This window comes from Homo sapiens, chromosome 17 (assembly GCF_000001405.40).
Source record: "Homo sapiens chromosome 17, GRCh38.p14 Primary Assembly".
NCBI classification, from domain to species: domain Eukaryota; kingdom Metazoa; phylum Chordata; class Mammalia; order Primates; family Hominidae; genus Homo; species Homo sapiens.
In genome coordinates, this window is record NC_000017.11 from 4,182,178 (window position 1) to 4,207,400 (window position 25,223).

General features: G+C 45.2%; 1 protein-coding gene and 1 pseudogene across 10 annotated transcripts in view, besides 2 other annotated features; both read right to left on the minus strand.

The window, feature by feature from the left end:
* ANKFY1 (ankyrin repeat and FYVE domain containing 1) overlaps positions 1 to 25,223 on the minus strand; it is a 100,159-nt gene that overhangs the window by 18,357 nt on the left and 56,579 nt on the right. For 6 of the 10 annotated variants that reach the window (NR_047571.3, NM_016376.5, XM_047436224.1 and 3 more), the window contains 9 exons: positions 24,144 to 24,309; positions 15,196 to 15,400; positions 13,226 to 13,294; positions 12,801 to 13,000; positions 7,205 to 7,302; positions 2,641 to 2,869; positions 1,635 to 1,733; positions 1,221 to 1,374; positions 4 to 175 (listed from right to left, as the gene is read on the minus strand). Coding sequence is in view for 9 of the 10 variants with exons in the window: in NM_016376.5 (NP_057460.3) it covers positions 4 to 175; positions 1,221 to 1,374; positions 1,635 to 1,733; positions 2,641 to 2,869; positions 7,205 to 7,302; positions 12,801 to 13,000; positions 13,226 to 13,294; positions 15,196 to 15,400; positions 24,144 to 24,309 (1,392 nt within the window). In the remaining variant the exon portion in view is untranslated. Of the gene's footprint in view, positions 1 to 3; positions 176 to 1,220; positions 1,375 to 1,634; positions 1,734 to 2,640; positions 2,870 to 7,204; positions 7,303 to 12,800; positions 13,001 to 13,225; positions 13,295 to 15,195; positions 15,401 to 24,143; positions 24,310 to 25,223 lie in introns of those variants that run through there. The other 4 variants (NM_001330063.2, XM_017024733.2, NM_001257999.3 and 1 more) reach the window with 2 other exon arrangements.
* Positions 4,509 to 5,508: an enhancer, noted in NCBI's record as "H3K27ac-H3K4me1 hESC enhancer chr17:4089981-4090980 (GRCh37/hg19 assembly coordinates)". NCBI's record gives its function as "activates a minimal SCP1, AML or CMV promoter by ChIP-STARR-seq in primed H9 embryonic stem cells {active_cell/tissue: H9 hESC(primed)}" and the evidence as "EXISTENCE:reporter gene assay evidence [ECO:0000049][PMID:30033119]".
* On the minus strand, positions 18,190 to 18,783 carry LOC100420060 (stem-loop histone mRNA binding protein pseudogene; annotated as a pseudogene).
* Positions 24,873 to 25,073: a silencer, noted in NCBI's record as "peak2695 fragment used in MPRA reporter construct". NCBI's record gives its function as "represses an SCP1 promoter by STARR-seq MPRAs in K562 erythroleukemia cells {active_cell/tissue: K562}" and the evidence as "EXISTENCE:reporter gene assay evidence [ECO:0000049][PMID:32103011]".

Below are 25,223 nucleotides of genomic sequence, written 5' to 3' on the forward strand. Positions count from 1 at the left end.
CACCAGAGTGGATGCGATGTCCTCCAGATTGTTTGCCAATGCAAGCCACAGCGGGGGGTTCCCCTTCTCATCTGGCACAGACATGTCAGCTCCTCGGGTGCATATGGCATCAACTACGAGTGGAAGCTGGTTTCTGATGGCCAGCTGGAGGGCTGTCTCCCCGTCCTGAGTCCTGCTAGGACATGCACACCCAAACCAACGTTTGTGGTTGAACCCAAAGCACAGAAGGTGCCCTTCTGGGCATTCCAGAGTCCAGAATCTTCTGTCTCTAATCATATTCACTCACAATCATTCAATATTTTCTCAGGGAAATTAAATGTGAAAATAGTGTCTGTCCATTCTGACTTTTTAGAACACATAACCATGTCACCTTATTGCCCTCGGAGATAACATCCCAGCGTGCTGAAATCTTATAGTTACTTTTTAAAGCATCTTAATAAAATGCCACTCCAAGAACCCTCCTGGCAAACCTTCCTTCCCCCACTCAGTCATTCAGTCACTTGGAGATAAAGGTAAGTTCTTTTGAAAATACAACCACAATAAAAATTTGACTCCATGTCTTTTTCCCTCTCAGGCCTTGTTGGTGGCTCATTTGTTGGAACATTCTTCATTGTAACTGAAATTCCTTGTTAAAAACTGATTTTAGGGTGGGCCGCAGTGGCTCATGACTGTAATCCCAGCACTTTGGGAGGCCGAGGCAGGCAGATCACTTGAGGTCAGGAGTTCGAGACCAGCCTGGCCAACATGGTGAAACCCCGTCTCTACTAAAAGTACAAAAATGAGCTGGGCGTGGTGGTGGGCGCCTGTAATCCCAGCTACTTGGGAGGCTGAGGCACGAGAAATGCTTGAACCCAGTAGGTGGAGGCCGCAGTGAGCCGAGATTGTGCCACTGCACTCCAGCCTAGGCAAAAGAGTAAGATCCTGCCTCAAAGGAAAAAAAACCTGGATTTTAGATTGTTTTTTACAATGAGACTTGTGCAATACTATGCACTGGTCCTGAAAGGTTCAAACAAGAGCAAAGGACAGTTCCTTTCCGCCATTACAATCAAGTCTTTTGATGATATTCAGTGATGACACCGCAGTTGTGTGTTTCTAGAGCTACTGTTTCCTTTCCTCTAACTAATATGAAACAAAAACACTTTTCTACAAGCGAGGCTATGCTTTTGACATCTCAATTAATTGTTACCTGGTGTTAGGTGGAGAGAGCGGCTTCCTCCTACCTGACATTTATATCTGCCTGGTGCTCCAGCAGGAAGAGTGCGCTCTTGCTGTCCTGCCGCTGTATGGCCATGTGCAGTAGCGTCTGCCCATCCGACATGGTGTCATTGATGGCGGCTCCAGAGCCCAGCAGCTGGGCTGCGATCGTGTGCATGCCTGGGAAACAAGCCCCGATCTCATCCAGGCTCGGCTTTTCCCGCTTCCTCAACATCTTACTACAACAGCCAGACCCTCTCAGCTTCTCAAAGCCAGCAGTTTTCCACTGGATCTAACAGGCTTAACTCAAACAGAAATGTTATTTTACAACCAAATGATTAGCCCAGTCTCCTCTTTCTTTCTCGCTCCCTCTGTCCCACCCGGCCCCACTTCGGACAGCTGTCTGTCTGCAGACATCAGCGGCCCCGGCACAGCCTTACCAGTCCATAATGCCAGGCCCAGCACAGTCTGGTCTCGGGAATCTTTGAGGCTGAAGTCCGGAATGATCTGCAAGTTGTTGGTGGCATGAAGAGCATTGGCTAAATGTTTGAAAAAGTAAAAGAACACTTGATGTCACCATCTGTGGATCACACTTAAAGCTTCAGTAGAGTAAGAACTCAAACTGCCTGTTGGGTATAATATGATCAATGCTATAAAAAGAGAGTAGATAAATCTTGTCAAGACTCAAAGCCCAGAAATCTGATATTTTGGAGCAAAACTTACAGGGAAAACGAATCTTTTTAAAGCTTAAAACACTGACTCTTCACGTAAGAAAAATGGACTCCATTACGGAAACACGCTTGATTACTAAAAAGACTAAAACAACGCCCTGATGATGTTTCCTAGAACGCAATCTTAAAACTTTCCCTCCTACAGTCTTAAAACTTCTGTGAGGACCAAAAAAAGGGCACATAGTACCTAAAACCCAACCTCCCTCCAGAAGGACAAGGCTAAAAAAACACTGTCCTTAACAAGGATTGAGGCAAGAGCAAAATAAACCTCAGGACAGGCAAGAGAAGGCGTGAGGGAGACTTTCTGAGGGAAACGGCCCTTCTGTCCCACAGGGGCTGCCCCTGGCCCCTCTTTCTGGCCCCTCTCTCATGGGGTGCCTGCCACAACAGGGTTCTCAAAGACAGTGCTCACACCGAGGCACAGCTTTGCTTGACCTACACTAAATGGCCTAGAGAAATAGTCAAATAAGACAGACATTACTACCAGCTTAACCTAACAAATGAAATGGGCAGGCCCCATCCTGAAAACACACACAGGGAAGCAGCAGTCAAGAGCCAGACTACATGCTTCTCTAGTTTGACCTGAAAGGATTTTTTGGGGGTAAGAAACTAGCCATATGAAACTCACCAACAGAAAAAACATCAACTCTGTAACTAAGGATCCTAAACTGCTGTCCCCAAGTCAAAAGGATGGACAGTATTCCCACTTACTTACCTTTCTGCTCCAGGATGACAGACACCACATCCGGATGGTTATAGGCGATCGCCATGTGCAGTGGCGTCTGCAGATGGACGCTGTCCGCCAAGCTGGTCAGGGATGCGGCCTCCTTTGGCAGAGGCAGAGCTTCCTCCGTCTGCAGGTTTGGGTTGGCGCCTTGCTGCAGGAGCTCTGCCGTGAGGTTGGCCAGGCCATGCCGACACGCTGTGTGCAACGGGGTTTCTCCCTGAATGGAAACAAATGGCCGAAATCTGAGCACTCACAGGAATTCCCTTCACAAAGAGCGTGGCAGCCTAAGTGCAAAACCTCGGGTCCTTGGCTCATCCTGCCGCCAGCTGCCCCTCCTGACTTCTGTTCTCTTTCTCCTGAGCCATCGCTCTCAGTATCTTTTTTTGTTTGTTTTGAGACGGAGTCCCGCTCTGTCACCCAGGCTGGAGTGCAGTGTCAAGATCTCGGCTCACTGCAACCTTTGCCTCCCGGGTTCAAGCGATTCTCCTCCCTCAGCCTCCTGAGTAGCTGGGATTACAGGCACGCACCACCACACCCAGCTAATTTTTGTATTTTTAGTACAGACAGGTTTCACCATGTTAGCCAGGCTGGTCTCAAACTCCTGACCTTGTGATCCACCCAACTCGGACTCCCAAAGTGCTGGGATTACAAGCGTGAGCCACCACGCCCGGCCCATTTTTTTTTTTGAAGCAGCATCTCGCTGTGTTGCCCAGGCTGGACTCAAACTTCTAGCCACAAGCAGTCCTCTTGCCTCAGCTTCCCAAATAGCTGGGGTTACAGGCGTGAGGCACTGCGCCTGGTTCCACCCTTAGTTTCTTCAGTGTCTTCCCCAAGCACCTTCCGAAAGCACTGGCTTCTTGACTTCACCTCCAAGGTCCTCTTTAACCACCCTTCGCTTTGTTTTATAATTCTTTTTTTTCTAATTATAAAAATAATATATGCTTATCACGACAGAACAATAACAAGCTCCAAGTGTCACCAAAATAAATAGTACAACAAATGGGAGAGCCGCGCAGCCCCCGCCCGGACCTAAGCCCCGGCAATCGGCAGCCTTAACGCTGTGGCCGTCGCTTCTTCTTTAGCTCCGTCTCTGTGGCCTGCTTGTATCAATCTCATCTTGAGCTCTGATCAAGACCTCCTTCTCCTACTTTTAAAAGTTAAAAATATTTTTAATTGGTATTACCGCTACCTGATGCAACATTTAAAACGAAGTTTCCTCTCACATTTGGAACCATTATTACCACTTTCATGTTTCTCTCCATTGACAGAACCCTCCCAGGAAAACACACGTATGCACACACACATGCATGTGGGCGTGTCCACGTGTATGTCCGTATGTAAACACACACACTGGAGTGTTTTCACCCCAACAAGTGGAAATGAACGGAATGCACCACTCTGCCTGCAGTACGGCGCTTGCATAAGGTGCCTGCCCTCATCAGAGTTATACATCATCACTTAGAGGCAAGAACTCTCCAAGGCTTCTTGTAAAAATCAGCAAGATCCCTGGCGGTGATGTTTACAACTAACTGATCACAACCAGTTACAGATTCATTTGTTCCTTCACTCCCACTGCCTCACTTGGCTAGCCTAAAAAAAAAAAAATATCCTTTCCCAGCAGGAATCACTTTTAACTCTTCCAGCTGGGTTTTGTAACTCTCCATATTTCTAACCAACATGTTTTTATTGCTGCCTCTTGATTTTCCAGCTTTGAACATTATCTGTGGGACTTTCCACTGTGGCAGATAAGGATTGAGTACTTTTACGCCTTGACCCAGAGTGCGCGCTTCCCATCCCAAATCCTCCCCATACAGGGGAACTGTAATTGCAGTGTGAGCCCGCCCAAGTATGTCCTCTTCCTCCTCCTCCCCTGCTCCTCCCGCTCCTCTACCCCTCCTCCTCGGGGCTGTCTTCTGTTCCAGACCTTCTTCCTACGCATTCTCCTTGGGTGTGCTGATCTACTCCACGGCTTCTGCCATTATCTGCAAGGAAGAGACTCTCAAACCCAGGTCTCCAGCCCCATTCTTGCATCTAATTTTCCCACTGCCTGTTAGACATCCCTACCTTAAATGTGTAGAAATTCAAAAATCACAATGGAATTTATTCCCACACACAGGCTCCTCCTCCTGGCCAGTTTCCTCTGTTTTTCCATGGGTTCGCCGCAACTGTTTTTTTTAAATTCGTATTTCAGTGTCTTTGGGGTACAGGTGGTTTCTGGTTCCACGGATAAGTTCTTCGGTGGTGATTTCTTAATGTTAGTGCACCCGTCACCTGAGCAGTGTACACTGTACCCAGTATCACCCTTTTATCCCCCACCGCCCTCCCAAGCTTCCCCTCCAAGTTCCCAAATTCCATTACGTCATTCTTGCACCACAGGGGTTTTAACAGCTCTCTTGCCCTCGCTTCTGGGAGCCTCAAGCATGCGTGTCACAGACTGATTCTGCAATTCCTGTGAAACCTGTTCCTTTGGATCCAAATGCAGTGTGAGAGGACAGGACAGGACAGGTCATTGCTTGTCAAGATGACTCCCACTTGGCTCCAGCCTGGACTCCACGGCACACCCACCATGCCAGCCATCCCAGGCAGTTTTCTCAGCTCCAGAAGAATCACACTACTTCTCTGCCCAAAACCCTCCAATGGCTCTTCTGTCCCCACAGGATAAAGCCCACACAGCGGAAGCCAGTGTTCCAGGCCCTTCTGCAGTGCTGGTCTCCAGTGCTTTCAAGTGAGGCCTCCCGTTTCTCTACAGCTTGGGTTTGACCTAGTTTTGCTATGAAGGGTATTCAGAGAAGGAACAACAGCGGGTAGACAATGTGGGCCCAAGGGAGGTTTTTTTTTGTTTGTTTTTTGTTTTCCGAGACAAAATCTCACTCTGTGCCCCAGGCTGGAGTGCAGCAGCGCAATCGCCACTCACTGCAACCTCTGCCTCCCAGGTTCAAGCGATTCTCCTGCCTCAGCCTCCCGAGTAGCTGGGATTACAGGCACTGGCCACCTCGCCCAGCTAATTTTTGTATTTTTAGTAGGGACAGGGTTTCGCCATGTTGGCCAGGCTGGTCTCCAACTCCTGACCTCAGGCGATCTGCCCACCTCAGCCTCCCAAAGTTTTGGGATTACAGGCGTGAGCCACCGTGCCCAGCAGAAGATTTTAAGTTAGGAGATAGTAGAGCATGTCTCTATGCTATTAGAAATGAATAATGGGCAAAGCTAATGATGCAGGAGGAAAAGAAAGAGACAGAGACACACGATGGCAAGAGCAGAGGCATGGAGAAGGTGAGAGGGCACGAGATGCTGAGATGCTGAGCCCAAAACAAGCAGCAGCCTCTGGTGGGCATGGGGCCATGCCATCACTCTGGCCGGTGGGCACGAGGCCATGCCGTCACTCTGGCCGGTGCGCACGGGGCCGCGCTGTCACTCTGGCTGGAGAGTTGGCTGTGTGCAGACACATAGTGGAGTCAGCAGTGGAAAGGATGGCACTGCCCTCTGTCCTGTACCAAGATACACTTGTCTGGCTCAGATACCAAGCTCACTGTTTACTGCCTTGCCCAGTGCTGTTGAGACAGTGTGCAACTAGATAGCCTTGTGCTGGAGTCTTAATGTGGACACCTCATTATTTATAAGCCACTTAACCTCTCAGAACCTCAAGGTCCTTGACTCCAAAATAGAGAATTGATTGATGTGGGAAAGGCTTCTTCAATCCTAACGATACATGCTGCTTCCAGGTCCACTGTGAAAATTAAAAGGGATAATAGCCTTAAAGCTGCTAGCAGAAAGTGACCGTAAAATAAATGTGATCTTGAAGACAAGCACATCCTCATGGTCTGAAAATAATAAAGTAAAAATAACTATCAAATAGTACCTAATGTCTCAGATATTATGCTAATAAGCATTTAGCTGGGCGTGGTGGTGCATCCCTGCAATCCCAGCTATTCTGGAGGCTGAGGCAGGAGAATTGCTTGAATCCAGGTGGCAGAGGTTGTGGTGAGCCGAGATTGCCCCATTGCACTCCACCCTGGGCAACAAGAGCAAAACTGTGTCTCAAGAAAAAAAAAAAAAAAAAGAAGAAGACTGCATAGGGAGGAAATGGGAAAGCTGGTAAACTCGGTAACGTCCAACCCCAAAGGTAACACTTTTATTCATAACACCGCACATTCCACCTTGTTAGCGTGCGACATAGACTCATACGTGACAATCCACAGAGGAAAACCCAAGCAAATGTGAAGTGTTATCAAGAATCAAATGCTATCGCGGTAGGTTTGTGCACGCGTTTGCTAACCTCTATTAAAGTCCATAGCATCTAGTTCGGGGTCTGATAACCTGAACAAGCACTGTTTCCTACACAAACGCTTAGGAAATGGCTGCTGAATGAATCAATCAACCAATATTTGAAGAAACACAAAATAATCTGTTTCACTCTGGCTTTTTAACCATATGCATGTATTATTCTGATTAAAAACTGAAAAAAACCACCTATTCCCCTTTTTCCTACATATCCACCACTGCCATTTCTTCCATAGATCAACACCATTTTCTCCGGCTGCCCTGTCACACTTACCCACTTGTTTCTGTGGTTGACATGGGCACCGTTGGTTGCCAGGAAAAGAGCTGCTGCCTCGTTTCCTGCTCCAGCTGCCCGCTGTAGTAAACAGTTTCCTAAAAGAAAATGGGCATTGCTGATTCTTCTGTTTGCATCAAAATGCGGTCACGCTGCACAACACCCTGCTCTTCCCTGCCACCCTATGACTGGCAAGCCCACGCCAGACAGTAGGCCCACACCAGACAGTAGGCCCACGCCAGACAGTAGGCCCACGCCAGAGAGTAGGCCCACGCCAGAGAGTAGGCCCACACCAGACAGTAGGCCCACGCCAGACAGTAGGCCCACGCCAGACAGTAGGCCCACGCCAGACAGTAGGTCCACGCCAGACAGTAGGTCCACGCCAGACAGTAGGTCCACGCCAGACAGTAAGCCCACGCCAGACAGTAGGTATCATTTAAGTCCACATAGGTACTCTCTGTATGTGGACACAGAGGCTAGGGAATGCCCCAGGCTGGAGCATCCACACAGGTACTCTCTGTGTGTGGACACAGAGGCTAGGGAACGCCCCGGGCTGGAACATCCAATTCCTCCCTGGGATTCCCGCTAGCCACTGCCCAGGACGGGAGGGAAGTTCTGTCCCCTTGCTGAGGGTGGGTTAGAGCAAGATTTCTCAACAGTGGTGCTACGGACATTTTGGACAGGATAAATTCTTTGTTGTGGGGTCTGTTCTGCACACTGTACAATGTTCGGCAGCATCCTCTGAACTTAAAGACAATTAGAAATGTCTGTAGATGTTGGCCAGTGTGGTGGCTCACAGCAGTCATCCCAGCACTTTTGGAGGCCGAGGCAGGCGGATTACTTGATGCCAGCAGTTTGAGATCAGCCCGGCCGACATGGTGAAAACCTGTCTCTACTAAAAATACAAAAATTAGCCAGGCTTGGTGGTGCACACCTGTAATCCCAGCTACTCGGGAGGCTGAGACACAGGAATTGCTTGAACCCACGAGGCAGAGGTTGCAGTGAGCCAAGATCGTGCCACTGCACTCCAGCCTGGGCGACAGAACAAGACTCTGTCTCAAAGAAAAAAAAAAAAGAAATGTCTACAGATGTTGACAAATGTTCTCAGGCAATAAAGGCAGGATTGTGCCTGGCTGAAAACCACTTGGCTGGATGACCATTTTGAAAACATTTTAAGTCCTATTAGAAAATGCCCCTTAAATACTTCAGTTTTATTCCTAATGCTTTAAATATGTTTGTTCTTGGCTTAGAAATATTTTCCTTAGCACTGTTACTCTTTTCTAAATAAAAACCTTGGAAAGAAAAAAATGAGTTTTTTTTTCTCTCTAAATGGTTTTAGCCCTAAAACAGTGTTTCTCAGCTTTTAAAATCCATTTCCAAAAATGAACAAACTCTCTCATGTCAACAGCTATACTATTTGAAATTCTAAATAAACCAAACACCAGGACTGAAAACAAGATAAAGAACTGTGACAGCCGGGCACGGTGGCTCATTGCCTGTCATCCCAGCACTTTGGGAGGCTGAGTTGGGTGGATAATTTGAGCTCAGGAGTTCGAGACAAGCCTGGCCAACATGGTGAAACCCTGTCTCTACTAAAAATATAAAAACTAGCCAGGCCTGGTGGCACATGCCTGTAATCTCAGCTACTCAGGAGGCTGAGGCAGGAGAATCACTTGAACCCAGGAGGCAGAGGTTGCAGTGAGCCGAGATAGTCCCACCGCACTCCAGCCTGGGCGACAGAGCGAAACTGTCTCAAAACAAACAAACAAAAAGAAATGGGACAAAGTACTACTTTGCTTTCATACCATGTTTTTCCTTATCCCTCAGAGACAGGAATCCGACTCCTAGTTGATGGTTGCTCTATACTGGAGACTCCTAGTTGATGGCTGCTCTAATCTGGAGACTCCTAGTTGATGGTTAATCTGGAGACGCCTAGTTGATGGTTGCTCTAATCTGGAGACTCTTAGTTGATGGTTGCTCTCATCTGGAGACTCCTAGTTGATGGTTAATCTGGAGACGCCTAGTTGATGGTTGCTCTAATCTGGAGATGCCTAGTTGATGGTTACTCTAATCTGGAGACGCCTAGTTGATGGTTACTCTAATCTGGAGACTCTTAGTTGATGGTTGCTCTAATCTGGAGACTCCTAGTTGATGGTTACTCTAATCTGGAGACTCCTAGTTGATGGTTGCTCTAATCTGGAGACTCCTAGTTGATGGTTACTCTAATCTGGAGACTCCTAGTTGATGGTTAATCTGGAGACTCCTAGTTGATGGTTAATCTGGAGACTCCTAGTTGATGGTTAATCTGGAGACTCCTAGTTGATGGTTAATCTGGAGACTCCTAGTTGATGGTTGCTCTAATCTGGAGACTCCTAGTTGATGGTTACTCTAATCTGGAGATGCCTAGTTGATGGTTACTCTAATCTGGAGACTCTTAGTTGATGGTTGCTCTAATCTGGAGACTCCTAGTTGATGGTTGCTCTAATCTGGAGACTCCTAGTTGATGGTTACTCTAATCTGGAGACGCCTAGTTGATGGTTACTCTAATCTGGAGACTCTTAGTTGATGGTTGCTCTAATCTGGAGACTCCTAGTTGATGGTTAATCTGGAGACTCCTAGTTGATGGTTAATCTGGAGACTCCTAGTTGATGGTTAATCTGGAGACTCCTAGTTGATGGTTGCTCTAATCTGGAGACTCCTAGTTGATGGTTACTCTAATCTGGAGATGCCTAGTTGATGGTTACTCTAATCTGGAGACTCTTAGTTGATGGTTGCTCTAATCTGGAGACTCCTAGTTGATGGTTAATCTGGAGACTCCTAGTTGATGGTTGCTCTAATCTGGAGACTCCTAGTTGATGGTTGCTCTAATCTGGAGACTCCTAGTTGATGGTTACTCTAATCTGGAGACGCCTAGTTGATGGTTACTCTAATCTGGAGACTCTTAGTTGATGGTTGCTCTAATCTGGAGACTCCTAGTTGATGGTTAATCTGGAGACTCCTAGTTGATGGCTGCTCTAATCTGGAGACTCCTAGTTGATGGTTAATCTGGAGACTCTTAGTTGATGGTTGCTCTAATCTGGAGACTCCTAGTTGATGGTTACTCTAATCTGGAGACTCCTAGTTGATGGTTAATCTGGAGACTCTTAGTTGATGGTTGCTCTAATCTGGAGACTCCTAGTTGATGGTTACTCTAATCTGGAGACTCCTAGTTGATGGTTAATCTGGAGACTCCTAGTTGATGGTTAATCTGGAGACTCCGAATTCCATGTTTATGCTTGCAGTCATTCCACTGTACACAAGACTTAAATTCTATATCTCCCAATAGAACAAAGATAACCCATGACTGCCAAAACATCACTAAACCGTTAAAAGCGAGTGGACGAATTGGCTGGTCCGGGTGCAGTGGTGTTTAAAACTCATCAAAACCAGTTACAGATTTCTTTGTTCCTTCTTCACTCCCACTGCTTCACCTGACTAGCCTTAAAATTAAAAAAATAAAAATTAAAAATTAAAAAAACTAGTGGACTAAGATTACACGTATAATGAAAAATGAAATATATCAATAGAAAAAACAATCCTGAGCCTGTCTAGACTTAACAATTAAAACTATATAATATAAAATTGACAGAACCAGCAAGAAAAATGGACAAAACCATAACCAATGAAAAATTTTAATATACCTCTCAGAAACTGACAGATCAAGCAGTCCAAAAGTTAGTAAGAATATGTAAGATTTGAACAGCATAATGAACAAGCTTGATTTAATGCACATAGAGAATGCTGCATCCTATAATTAAAGAATGCATATTCTTTTCAAACACATGTCAGACTTTTATAAAAACTAGTTCTGTAAGAGTCTAACATTCAAGCCTTTTGTTTGTTTGTTTTTTAAGAGAGAGAATCTTGCTCTGTCACCCAGGCTGGAGTACAGTGGAGTGATCATAGCTCACTGCAGCCTCCAACTCCTGGCCTCAAGCAATCCTCCCACATCAGCCTCCTGAGTAGCTCAGAGTACAGGCATGAGCCACCAGTCGACTCTTTTTTTTTTTTTTTTTTTTTTTTTTGAGATGGAGTTTCATTCTTGTTGCCCAGGCTGGAGTGCAATGCACGATCTTGGCTCACTGCAACCTCCGCTTCCCGGGTTCAAGTGATTCTTCCACCTCAGCCCCCCAAGTAGCTGGGATTACAGGCATCGCCATCACGCCCGGCTAATTTTTGTATTTCAGTAGAGACGGTGTTTCACCATGTTGGCCAGGATGGTCTCGAACTCCTGACCTCAGGTGATCTGCCTGCCTCGGCCTCCCAAAGTGCTGGGATTAACAGGCGTGAGCCACTGCGCCTGGCTGACCTTTAATTTTTTTTTATTTTATTTTAATTAATTAATTTACTTATTTTTGAGATGGAGTCTTGCTCTGTTGCCCAGGCTGGAGTGCAGTGACGCGATCTTGGCTCACTGCAACCTCTGTCTCCTGGGTTCAAGCAATTCTCCTACCTCAGCGTCCTGAGTAGCTGGGATTACAGTGCGTGGCCACCAGCCCAGCTATTTTTGCATTTTTAGTAAAGACAGGCTTTCACCATGTTGGCCTGGCTGATCTGGAACTGCTAACCTCAGGTGATCCACCGGCCTCAGCCTCCCAAAGTGCTAGGATTACAGGTGTGAGCTACCATGCTTTGGGATTACAGGCATGAGCTACCACGCCCGGCCATATATATATATATATATTTTTTTTTTTTTTTTTTTTTTGAGACGGAGTTTCAGTCTCCTCACCCAGGCTGGAGTGCGATGGCACGATCTTGGCTCACTGCAACCTCTGCCTCCCAGTTTCAAGCGATTCTCCGGCCTTTCCTGAGTAGCTGGGATGACAGGAGCCCGCCACCATGCCCAGCTGATAATTTGTTTTTTCAGTAGCGACAGGTTTCAGTCTCTAAAGGGGCCACCCTGGTCTCAAACTCCTGACCTCAGGTGATCCACCCACCTCGGCCTCCCAAAATGCTGGGATTACAGGTGTGAGCCACCACGCCTGGCCAACCTTTAATTATTAACTTCTTTAGGGAAAGGGCTGTTTTAATATCCATCTTTTTTTTTTTTTTTTTTTTTGGTCAAGTCTTCCTGTGTGAGTGACACCTACCCATGTTTTATGCATTGCCAGTACTCAATACTGAATTACACCAAATCCCTCTCCTTAAAATATCCCTGTTATTTTATTTAGTCAGATCAAGGAAATACATTAAAACAGTGTTCTCAAAGTGTAGTCTAATATGGTAAATACTGAAGTTATAACCCACCTAAAGAAAAGCTCTCTGGGGTACAATTTTTAAGACGGTCAAAGGAATTCTTGAGTCCAAAGAGTCTGCGAGTCGCCGCATTAAATAAATGGAAGTTTCAGTTTCAGGGACTTGATGTCTGCTCAATTGTTTGAAGCACAGGATTTTTAAAAATGACAACCCAGGCTTTTACTGTATATAAAATTAAGTACAAAATAATTATCCTCATAGTATGCCGTTCAGTTTCTAAATTTGGGGTGAAGGCATTTACATGCCATTTCCTGGCGCCTGCAGACCCCAGCGTCGCCCCTTCGGGAGGCACGTGCTTTACCTGTCGCCGTGTCAGGTGCGTCTGTGTGGCTGCCGCGCTGGATGAGTCTGGCTGCAAAGCTGTTCTCATCAAATGAAGTCCCATTTACCACGGGGACATCTTCGAAGGGGTTCACAGACTGGTCAGAAGACACTGTGATATGCTGCACTGCCAGCCACAGAGCCGTGCTGCCCTCGTGGTCTTTGAGTTCTAAATCTAGTCTGAAAAGCAGAAGCAGTGTCAACAGCACATACAATCTTTTTGAGACACTCTATACTGACAACAACCTGGTTCTTTCTCTTTACCCTTTTTCAATGACACATTTTTTTTTAGCTCACTTTAACTTCTTAATATATGCAACACTAAAGATGTTTAAAAAGAATGATTTTTCACTCACAATCCCCCCTCACAACCGCCTTCTCACTTGTGCGTGTCTCCCTACGTACTGTTTGCACTGCAGCAGCTGACTGAACACATATTCATTCCCGGCCATGATGGACACATGTAAAGGAGTCCTGCGGGATCCAAAAGAAGAGGGGTCAGTTCAGGACAGGCCTGTTCAGGATGACTCACGGCAAGACGCAACCAGAATCCCAGGCAGAATCACCACCCGCAAGAAATCCCACATTTCTACAAGGCTTCTAAAACCATGACCCAGTATCAAAACCTGAAAACGGATCTGCTTATATGTGACCATTATTCAGCGGCCAAAATGGACAAGAATCAGCTCAAGGAAGTGATCTCAAATACTCCCCAACTCAATCCCAACCCCTTCCTGAAGGCACAGACAGGATTTTCTTGAGAACAGCAGTTTCTGCCACAGGTGTGCAGATTTTCCCTCATCTCTTCTCCATCAATTCTAAAAGGAAACTCTCCCCCATAATCTTCTATTCTTCTCAAACACACTCAGAGCAGCAACAGGAAAGAACTGATGAAAGCGGCATTTAACCCCTTTCACTGCTTTCATTTAGCACTCGGGAGCCCTGCAGGAGACTGGCACTGCAGAGCCACCACTAACACACACACACACACACCCCCGAGTCAGGGCCCAAGGCTGCACCTACCCACCCACCCCCCCCACCACCCCCCACCCACACAGTGAGTCAGGGCCCAAGGCTGCACCTACCCCGCCCCCCACCTCCCCCCAAAAACACACACTTTGAGTCAGAGCCCAAGGCTGCATCTACTACACACACACACACACACACACACACACACACACACACACACACACACTGCGAGTTTATTGCCGTTGGAGGAAAAAAATGAAAGAATCAACAGCAGGGAAAGGGATGCAATTATTTTAGGAAATAAGGTAATTATCACATGATACTGAGATTTCATGAAGCTACATCTTATTTACGTACTTATCTATCACATAAATACATTCTCCTGTCTGACAACCAAACTTTACAAAAAATCTTTTTTTTGAGAGGTTTTTCAAAGGTATAAAATACTGAGAATGTTCTAATGACAAGCGGGTCCCAACTGTGGTCAGTGATTCAGGTGACTTAACTATCCTTCACAGCCCCTCACACCACTGTCCCAAGACAAGTAGCCTTTTCTCAGATCCTACCACAAGGAATCCTCAACTATTTCTGGAAAGGGGCAAAATGAACACAATAAATATTGTTAAATATGCAAAGGGCCGTGCTATGGACAAAGGTAGCAAGCTGTGCAGATAAAGTGGGAGTGTTTACGAGAAGGTAAAATTGGGTTTAATATAGAGAATTTTCTAACAATTAGAATTTTCTAACAATTAGACCTCAATAGTTCTTCAAACTATCCAAGCAACTCTAAGAAATGCTACAAGGTTTCCTTGGAGGCACTGGACTAGATGACCACTCTGGTTCCTTCAAACATGAGATACAAATTGCTTAAAAGCTCGAAAACTGGCTCACGCCCGTAATCCCAGCACTTTGGGAGACCGAGGTGGGCAGATTGCTTGAGCTCAGGAGTTCGAGGCCAGCCTGGACAACATGGCAAAACCCTGTCTCCACCAAAATACAAAAATCAGCCAAGTGGGGTGGCGTGTGCCTGTAGTCTCACCTACTCAGGAGGCTGAGGTGAGAGGATCACCTGTGCTCAGGAGGTAGAGGCTGCAGTGAGCCAAGATCATACCACTGCGCTCCAGCCTGGGTGACAGAGTGAGATGCTGACACAATTAAAAACAAACAAACAACACACAAAAAAAACCTCGAAGACTTCAGTTACCCAGGATAGAAATGTTTTCCCCAAATGCCTCTGGTTTTAGTAGTGACACTACTACTACACATCGATGTCTGTGACTTTAATGAAAATAAGACTGAATAATGCCAAACTAAAGAACATGAACTCCCCGTATGCCAATTACATGCTACTGTAAGATATCTTCTGAGAACAGTGCTAAGGGCACAGTGTCTGCTCCCCAGCTTACCTCCCCTTGCTGTCCTGCATGTTGGGGTTGGCACCAGCCTGCAGAAGGGCCTCTGCAATCTGCGCCATCTCAGACATCACATCTGCTGAGTGTTTCTTTGAACTGTACAAGGCCACAAGGTGCAGTGGTGTCTCCTGGGCACCCAGTGTAGCAGCGTTGACAAAGGCCCCATTCTTAATGAGGAAAGTGGCAGCAAAGAGATCTCCTTGAAAAGAAATAATAGAAGAAACAGTGTCAGGGCAAAGTATTCTGGCCAGTGCTTCTTCAAGAGGGAGCAGAAAATGACTGCAGACAAAGGAGAGCGATAACTAGATGTGTCTGAAGGAACCTCTTGGGGCATCTGTAAGTGGAAACTCATTGAGATCATGGAGTTACAGACGAATTCAAAAGGCTCTGCTCAATTTTTGGTTACCTGTTACCACTTGTCCTGCCTCCTCACCTCAGTATCCTTTCACTGTTTAAGAATACTAGGCTGGGCCAGGCGCAGTGGCTCATGCCTGTCGTCCCAACACTTTGGGAGGCCGAGGTGGGCGGATCACCTGGGGTCGGGAGTTGGAGACCAGCCTGACCAACAGGGAAAAACCCCGTCTCTACTACAAATACAAAACTAGCCGGGCGTGGTGGTGCACGCCTGTAATCCCAGCTACTTGGGAGGCTGAGGCACGAGATTCGCTTGAACCCAGGGGGTGGAGGTTGCGGTGAGCTGAGACCACATCATTGCACTCCAGCCTGGGGATTAAGAGCAAAACTCCGTCTTAAAAAAAAAAAAAAGAACACTAGGCTTCTACTCTTCAAAGGCCTCCTTCGGTCATCTCTCAGAAGGGTTTCCAGGATCCCTCCCTACACAATTTCTCTCTCTCTTTCTCTTTCTTTCTTATTTCCTGACCACAGCTTGTACCTAACTAAGCAACACCTACCCCCATTCTGCTGTACTTGCATTCACGTTCCTACTCAGAGTAATCCCATGTCTGTTTTATTATTATAAAATTTATTTTCTTTTTAGATTTTTTTTTTTTTCAGACAGAGCCTTGCTCTGTCACCCAGGCTGGAGTGCCGTGGTGCAATCTCAGCTCACTGCAACTTCCGCCTCCGAAATTCAAGCAATTCTCATGTCTCAGCCTCCCAAGCAGCTGGGACTATAGGCATGTGCCACCACACCTGGCTAATTTTTTGTATTTTAGTAGGGACGGGGTTTCACCATGATGTACAGGCTGGTCTCAAACTCCTGAGCTCAGGAAAACCACCTGCCTCGGCCTCCCAAAATGCTGGGATTACAGATGTGAGCCACCGTGCCCGGCCTCTTTTTAGTTTTGTAATCTCATTATATACACATAACTGACTTAATAAGAAGTTTACAATGAAATATTTGAACAGAGTATCTGTACACATTACTATTTACAAAAATTTCACATGGTAAATAACCTTGTTGTGGAAACAAAATTTCTTTCTAAATCCCTTCCATTGACTTACCTCTTGGAGTATTACAGATAAGAGTCTACCTAGGACAATTTACAGATATCAAATTAAGACTGAATAACATCCCAGGTCTTTGGAAGGCCGAGGTGGGAGGATCACTTGAGCCCAAGAGTTCAAGACCAGCCTGGCAACATGGGGAGACCCCATCTCTACAAAAAAAAACTTAGCAAGGAGCGGTGACAACAGCTGTGGTTCCAGCTACTCAGGAGGATGAGGTGGGAGGATCGCTTGAGCCCCAGAGTTCGAGACTGCAGTGGGCTATGACTGTGCCACTGCACTCTAGCCTGGGTGACAGAGAGAGATCCTGACTCAACAAAGGCTGAGTAACTTACAGAAAAACCATTCTTCTTCTTATTTTTTGAGACAGAGTCTCACCCCCGCCACCCAGGCTGGTGCACTGGCACGATCACGGCTCATTGCAGACTCAACTTCTTGGCTCAGAGGATTCTCCTAACTCAGTCTCCTGAATAGCTGAGACTACAGGCACGCATGCCACCATGCCTGGCTTATTTTTTATATTTTTAGTAGAGATGGGGTTTCACCATGTTGCCCAGGCTGGTCTCCAACCCCTGGGCTGAAGGGATCCACCTGTCTCAGCCTCCCAAAGTGCTGGGATTACAGGCATAAGCCACTGTGTCTGGCCAAAATTCATTAATTTTAATAGTTTCATTTACCATCTTTGACTATTTATGCTCTGTAGGAGTGAAAAAAACTACCTTGACATGTTGACAAAAGGCCAAGAATTAAGATGAAAATGTTAATGGTACACATTTGTGAAAATACTTTGTCAGACACTAGTAAAGAGAAATTGACTCTAGATTGGTTCTACAAATACATGGTTAAACTCGGAACTAAGCAATCTGACAAGTGGCCATTTAGTGTTAAAAAATACTTCTGAAAAACCAGTTAAAGTTTACTTGTCAAGTTAACTTGGAGGATGACAAGGATTAAGCAATTAAATTTGTTGTAAGATTAAAAGTTCAGTCTTTCTTGGATTTAGTTATATTTAACATTTAAAACACGCAAACACCATGTATATATAAAATGTATGTTTCTTAAGAAAACAAGGCAAGAATAGCAAAGCATCATAACACACAGAACAGAAACCTGTTACAAAGGCTTGGGGCATCACGCCTTGCTGGGTGAAAGCAATTGCTCTCAGTAGCCTCCAGGTGGCATCAATGAGCTCATATCGGGAAAGTTGGGTTTTGGGGATTTTTTTTTTGTTTTTGAGACAGGGTCTCACTCTGTCACCCAGGCTGAAGTGCAGTGTCATCATCACGGCTCACTGCAGCCTCAACTTCCAGGGCTCAGTTGATCCTCCCAGCTCAGCCTCCTGAGTAGCTGGGACTACAGGTGCACGCCAACATACCCGGCTAATTTTTTTGTGTTTTTGGTAGAGGTGGGTTTTGCTACCATTGCCCAAGCTGGTCTTGAACTCCTGGGCTCAAGCAATCCGCCCACCTCAGCCTCCCAAAGTGTTGGGATTACAGGCGTGAGCCACGGCACCTGGCCTGGAAAGTCTTTCAAGGGTTCAGTTAAACATCTTCCAAATAAAAATCATTTGCAACTTGCAACTTGAAGTCCCCATGTGTGACTCTGATGGGTGATAGCAAGTTAACCCAAGAGCTGGGATTCAGAGGTACTTTCTGCAGATTCCGTCTCCATTTCACCAAGGTCTACAGGATGAATTTCTTGCAAATCACATCCTTCTTCAGCTGGATGATCCCCAGCATGCAGAACAACGTCCTAGAGTTTGATTTGCTGGTCCCATGAGAGTTGACTATACTCCTTAAATGTGTGGGTGACCTTGCGATGAATGCTAGATTGTTGAAGCTGCCTTGGAACTTCTTTAATTTATGGATCTTTCCATAGGATGTGCTTTTGTCTTTGCATCAGGATGCTTCGGTTCCTAATTGTTAGAATTGTGAGTGCAGACTCCTTTGAATCACAACTCGAGACGATGATTTTCTCTCTCTTCCAAAGTTTTCCTTTCATATCTTACGATATCATTTCATCTCCTTCGACTACATATCTACAGTCTGAATATCTAGAATGGGGTTTCAGGAGTGGTAAAGCTCTCTCAGGTCTGTTGCCTGTATTCCTGTGCCCATTTTCATTTGAATATACAGGTTTCATCTGGTTCTCAGTAGGTATGAAATTAGAAAATCATTTGCTTTTGTTTTGGTTTTTGGTTTTTGAGACAGGGTCTCACTCTGTTGGTCAAGCTGGAGTGCAGTGGTACCATCATGGCTCACTGCAACCTCAGCCTCCCAGCCTCAAGAAATCCTCCTGCCTCAGCCTCCCAAGTAGCTAGGGGTACAGGCGCATGCCACCCTGCCTGGCTCATTTGAAAATATTTTTGTAGAGGTGAGGTCTCACTATGTTGCCCAGGCTGGACTCAAACTCCTGGCCTCAAGTGATCCTCCCACCTTGGCCACCCAAAGTGCTGGTATGACAGGCGTGAGCCACTGCGCCCAGGCCGATTGTCTCTTTTTCAACACTTCCCATCTGCTCTATGCTTTCTTCCAAGAGACCATCTTGCTAGAGAATGTGGGCTCTGGCACTGGGGCAGACAAGAGGCCTCAGATGCTGACTCGCTCCTCAGATGCTAGATTGGCCTGTGTCTGATTTTTTTTTTTTTTTTTTTTTTTTGTATTCACACTGTCTTATACAAAACAGAACCTGGGAAATGTTTGAGAAGAAAATGGATTTGACTGGTTAGGGCTATTGGGTTCTACTTTATCAGAAAGGCTCTTATTTGAATGAATCATGACTTCAGGTAACTTAACAATTTTCCAGTAAGTCCCTTCTCTTGAAATATTTTCATTCTTCTGCTCCCGTTTTGGGTGGGGTAAGGGGTGCAGAAGGTTGCAATCTTTCCCAGTATCAAAGCTTAGATTTCTTCACAGTACAGAGGCAGTAAAGCACTGCAGGCAGCAGGTAACATGCATATAGGGGGTTAGGCTAGGTCAGGCTTTTGCTATCCATTTATACATATACGCAGAGGGTCCTACTCTGTAGCATGAACAAACTCCACACGGATTTGGTATAGGAAAAAATATGTAAAGACAACAATATATTAGCAATACAACTAAATATCCTAGAGACGGCCACTTACATTCTGGGAGTAGAAAGAAACTTTAGAATTATTAGGACAAAGGGCCTTAATGAAAAGTCCAAAATATGAGATACTCAGGGGAGAAGGGTTAATGTAGTTTCATTACCTTTAAGCTTAAAATATATTCCAAACTAAGACACAAATACATAGTGGCCGGGCGCAGCGGCTCCTGACTGTAATCCCAGCACTTTGGGAGGCCGAGGCGGGCATTTCACTTGAGGCCAGGGGTTTGAGACCAGCCTGGCCAACATGGCAAACCCAATCGCTACAAAAATAGAAAAATTAGCCAAGCGTAGTGGCATGTGCCTGTAATCCCAGCTACTAGGGAGGCTGAGGCAGGAGAATCGCTTGAACCCGGGAGGCGGAGGTTGCAGTGAGCCGAGATTGCAGCACTGCACTGCAGCCTGGGTGACAGGGCAAGACTGTGTCTTAAAAAAAAAAAAAAGAGGCCGGGCGCAGTGGCTCACGCCTGTAATCCCATCACTTTGGGAGGCCGAGACGGGCGGATCACGAGGTCAGGAGATCGAGACCATCCTGGCTAACACGGTGAAACCCCGTCTCTACTAAAAATACAAAAATTAGCCGGGCATGGTGGCGCGCGCCTGTAGTCCCAGCTACACGGGAGGCTGAGGCAGGAGAATGGCGTGAACCCGGGAGGCGGAGCTTGCAGTGAGTCGAGATTGTGCCACTGCACTTCAGCCTGGGCGACAGAGCGAAACTCCGTCTCAAAAAAAAAAAAAAAAAAAAAAAGAGAGATAAATACACAGTAAAGCTAAGAAAAGATAGGTTAATGAAAAATGTATAATACACCAAACATACAGAAGATAAACTGGGCAATACTGCACAGGTATATGAAAACCTATGAATGACTGGATTCAGATGGATAGCATGATAAAAAAAAATTTTATATCTTAAATCCTTAAGTCCTCTTAGAAGAATTATAGACTTTGGATCAGATTTACTTTATTAATAAGATCCAAATATAAAGTTCTTTTTACTTATAATCATACACATATATATATATATATATATTCACCCCACACAAAGAAGCTATTTAGAAATTACTAGAAATAGAAAATTAATAAAGTTTTACATTAAAAGAAAGCCCAGAGGGTACATAAAGGAAAAGGACAACTGATATCAGAAGAGCAGAACAAAGGGAGGGAACAGAAAATGTCACAATCACCGTTTATAAGGTTTCTGTCAATAAGAAAATGGTTAACACATTTTAGAAAGATTTCAAATCATCAGAAACAGTTAAAATAAAAGCTGGTGCTTAAAAGTTTCAGTTACTTCATCACCTCATTCACTGACACTGCCAGGTAAATGAGGCATGACTATTGACTATTACAATCCGTCCATATAAAAATATTCCTAACAAAAAACTTCACACTAAAAAAATCCATATATAATATTTCTTTCAATGCAGCTTCTTGATGGTTTTATTCAGCCAGTAACCTTCATTATTCAATTAATACAAACCATATTTCATGCTGCTCCAGTTGGTGGCATCATTTTCAAATTTACTAAAAATAACAGGAACAATCTACTGAAGAAACTCATCGGCCAGGCGCAGTGGCTCACGTCTTTAATCCCAGCACTCTGGGAGGCTGAGGCGGGCGGATCACCTAAGGTTGGGAGTTCAAGACCAGCCTGACCAACATGGAGAAACCCAGTCTCTACTAAAAATACAAAATTAGCCGGGCGTGGTGGCAGGTGCCTGTAATCCCAGCTACTCAGGAGGCTGAGGCAGGAGAATCGCTTGAACCTGGGAGGCAGAGGTTGCAGTGAGCCGAGACCGAGCCATTGCACTCCAGCCTGGGTGACAGGAGCGAAACTCCGTCTCAACAACAACAACAAAAAAAAAAAAAAAAAGAAAGAAAGAAAGAAAAAAGAAACCCATCAACTGATGTTGGTTATTAAGGTAAAAAAGTTCAGGAAGAACTGTTTTTATAAAGTGAAGACTCATCTTCTTGCTCAGATCAGGCTAATCCAAGGAGATGGCATCCCTCTGGCCAAACATGTGCCCCCTGTGGACTCCCCCAAGACACTGCCTGCCTGTTCCACTCTTTAGATAAAATGACTGGTATACTTGGTTATTAGGATGATCACTGACTATTTTGTTGACAGATTCTAATGTGTGCTCAGACTAAACCAAAATCTCATATATTAAAGACTTTCACTCTTTAACAGTTAAAGTGAAAAAAACTCCTACAGGAACTGGACCTGGTTATGGCATTTCCAACGCAGGGGCAAGCGATGAATGGCAGGGTTGACCCCACCATTCCCCTGGTAATCACTGCTGGGTGTACTACTAACATTGCCTCGCATTCTCTGAACAAACCAATAAAGCAAAAGTAATTCCCACTTTATGGATAAGGAAGACGTAGAATGTGACTTGTCCAAGGCCACAGAGTAAACAGATGAGCTCAGATTCAAACCTTGGTGAATACCAGCTTCATAAAGCCAGTGCTCTGTCTACCGTAATATGCAACACTCTAAAGTTAGCAAAATCAAGTTTATTATACCCACGCTGTAATCCACATACTTGCAAGCAATTAATAAACTCAGAGTGGAAGGTTAAATCATCTGAAAATAAACATCAAAAATGTATCACTAATTCTTGGCAATTCTTGTATCTAAGCAATCACCAAAATATTTAATAACTCAAAGATGATTTATCATCAAACATAAGAATTAACTCCCTGGGAGGAAAGAAACAAAATTCTCAGATTTTTTTTTTTTAGTAACAGGGTATCTGTTTCCAAAATAAACATCTCAGACACGAAACAGTGTGGGAAAGAATCATTCCCTACGTGGTGGAGATTTCCCCACTGAATCACACTCAGTGCTAAGCACCCGCTGGCTTTGCACAGCACATAACGGTGCTTGAGGAAGATGCATCTGCTCTTGACACTGACATACTCGAAGGATTTCCTACCCAGTGATGAGCAAAATTTTCCTCTCTACCAGCCAGCAAGCTCAGCACTCCAGCACATGGCTTATAAGGATACTTGTATTAAAACCTTGGCCCAAAAAGGACAAAGCTGGCACAGGACCACATCTTGATGTAACTACATTCCACCAACTAGGAGCAATTTGTGAATGGCAAAAATGTAGCACAGACAATAATAGTATAACAATGCATCATCAAAAGGGGAAAATATAGATGATTAAGATGGAACGAAACAAGTAGATTCTCTCTTTGATGTCTACGTGTAAGTAAAAAAAAGTGGCCATGGCAATGCACTTCAATCAAGTCAACCATCCCTCCACAAAACTAACGCTTTGACACTTTGGAAAGCTTTCATTTCTCACTGGAACTCTACCTCTATACAGATTTCACTCTGTCTAAAATGACCATTGCAAAGCAAAATCAGCCCAGATCCATTTGGGACTCATGAATTAGTAAGACTATGGAAAAAAACAAACAAAAACCTAGTATTTTTTTTTTCCTTTGACAAGTTAATTCATTAAGATTAAAATGTTCTGGGAGGACGCGGTGGCTCACGCCTCTAATCCCAGCACTTTGGGAGGCCAAGGTGGGTGGATCACCAGGTCAGGAGATCGAGACCATCCTGGCTAACACGGTGACACCCCGTCTCTACTAAAAATACAAAAAATTAGCTGGGCGTGGTGGTGGGCACCTGTAGTCCCAGCTACTGGGGAGGCTGAGGCAGGAGAATGGCATGAACCCAGGAGGCGGAGCTTGCCGTGAGCCAAGATCGCACCACTGCACTCCAGCCTGGGCGACAGAACAAGACTCCGTCTCAAAAAAAAAAAAAGATTTAAATGTTTTGTTCTCAAGTCTATCATTTCTGTATTCTTCCAACTATTAACAATGCATTCAAAATATAGCTACAATTTCAAATAACTCTGCTAGAACAAAATGAAACTCTATCAATTTATCATAATAGAGGCCTAGCCTGTTAAAGTGAAAACCCTGAAGCTAAGAACACGTTTCAAGGTTTATGGTTTTGCTACTATCCTTGTATCTGTGGTAGAATACAAAAGCAAAACCTTCCTAGCACAATTCCTGGAGAAAGCCATCCATTGAACAAGCAAACATATCAAGTGCTTACAAGTAAAAGGTACTTCTTCACACAAGTACCATCTTTGTAGCCTTTCTTTCTGGGGCCCTGTTGGCACGGTGAATGGCCAAACTAACACGGCATAGGCAACAGCTCTTGAGTGCTTCCTCTGACCCAATGATCAAATTCTAGATCATGTAGCCTGTGAGTACAGACTACAGAAGCCTTTGAGAATTTTGGGAACAAGGTCAGAAAGTCTTCAAAAATTACTCGGATAAAAATAAAATTGCCTGCAGGGAAACATACACACTTCTTCCTACCTCTTTGGATTCCTTTGTGTAACAAGCTCCAGCCACTCTTGTCCACCATGTCCACATCAGCTTTGTGACTAACCAGCGTGGTGGCAATACTCTCCAGTCGTCGTGAGAGGGCTAGATCTAATGCCAGATCTCCGTTATGATCCGCTTCATTCAGCTTCCCAGGGAGCTACACAAACAAGTTTGTAAATTAGCGCCCAGTGAGTAGAGAATACGACCTATTTTAATTTCTCCCACCTTGACCCTTAAATATCATCTCTTATACAAATGTCAAATTTAAGTGCTCCAACACTGCTTACTCCCCAAATTCAACTTTATTCACAAACTTCTATCAGGCTTCCTCAGGGTACATGTTTTCAGGGAGTACAGAATTAATGGGGACCACATAGCCAACATAAACAATGTGGGAGACGATTAAAGGCCACCAGGAAAATGTGGACAGAGTGCTGTGGGGCACGAGTGCCAGGCAGAGGCTCAGAGAGTTTTACGGTGAACAGCTAATGTTTTCATGAAAGGCAGTGGCGTTCCTATTTCATTCTTCCCAGCAGTTTAATGTCTCCCCATACACTGGACACCCGGGATAAAACATACTTCGCTCCCATCTGTCAAGAGCCATTACATTTCTTTCAAGGTCATATGGTGGGCAGAATTATCACCCCCCCCAAAGACGGACATGTCCTAATCCCCAGAACCTATAAACATACCACGTTACATGGCAAAAGGCACTTTGAGGATGTGATTAAGGACCTTGTGATGGGGACAGTATCCCAGATTATCCAGGAGGCCCGACCTATCTAACCACAGAGGGCCCGACCCATCTAACCACAGAGGGCCCGACCCGTCTAACCACAGAGGGCCCGATCTATCTAACCACAGAGGGCCCGATCTATCTAACCACAGAGGGCCCGATCTATCTAACCACACAAGTCCTTCAAAGTGAAAAAGGGAACCAGAAGAGTAAGTCAGAGAGATGTGACATGAGAAGCACCTGACCCACCACTGCTGGCTTTTAAGACAAAAGCCGGGGGCTATGAGCTAAGGAATGTGTGGAGGGCTCTAGAAGGTGGGAATGGCCCTCGGCTG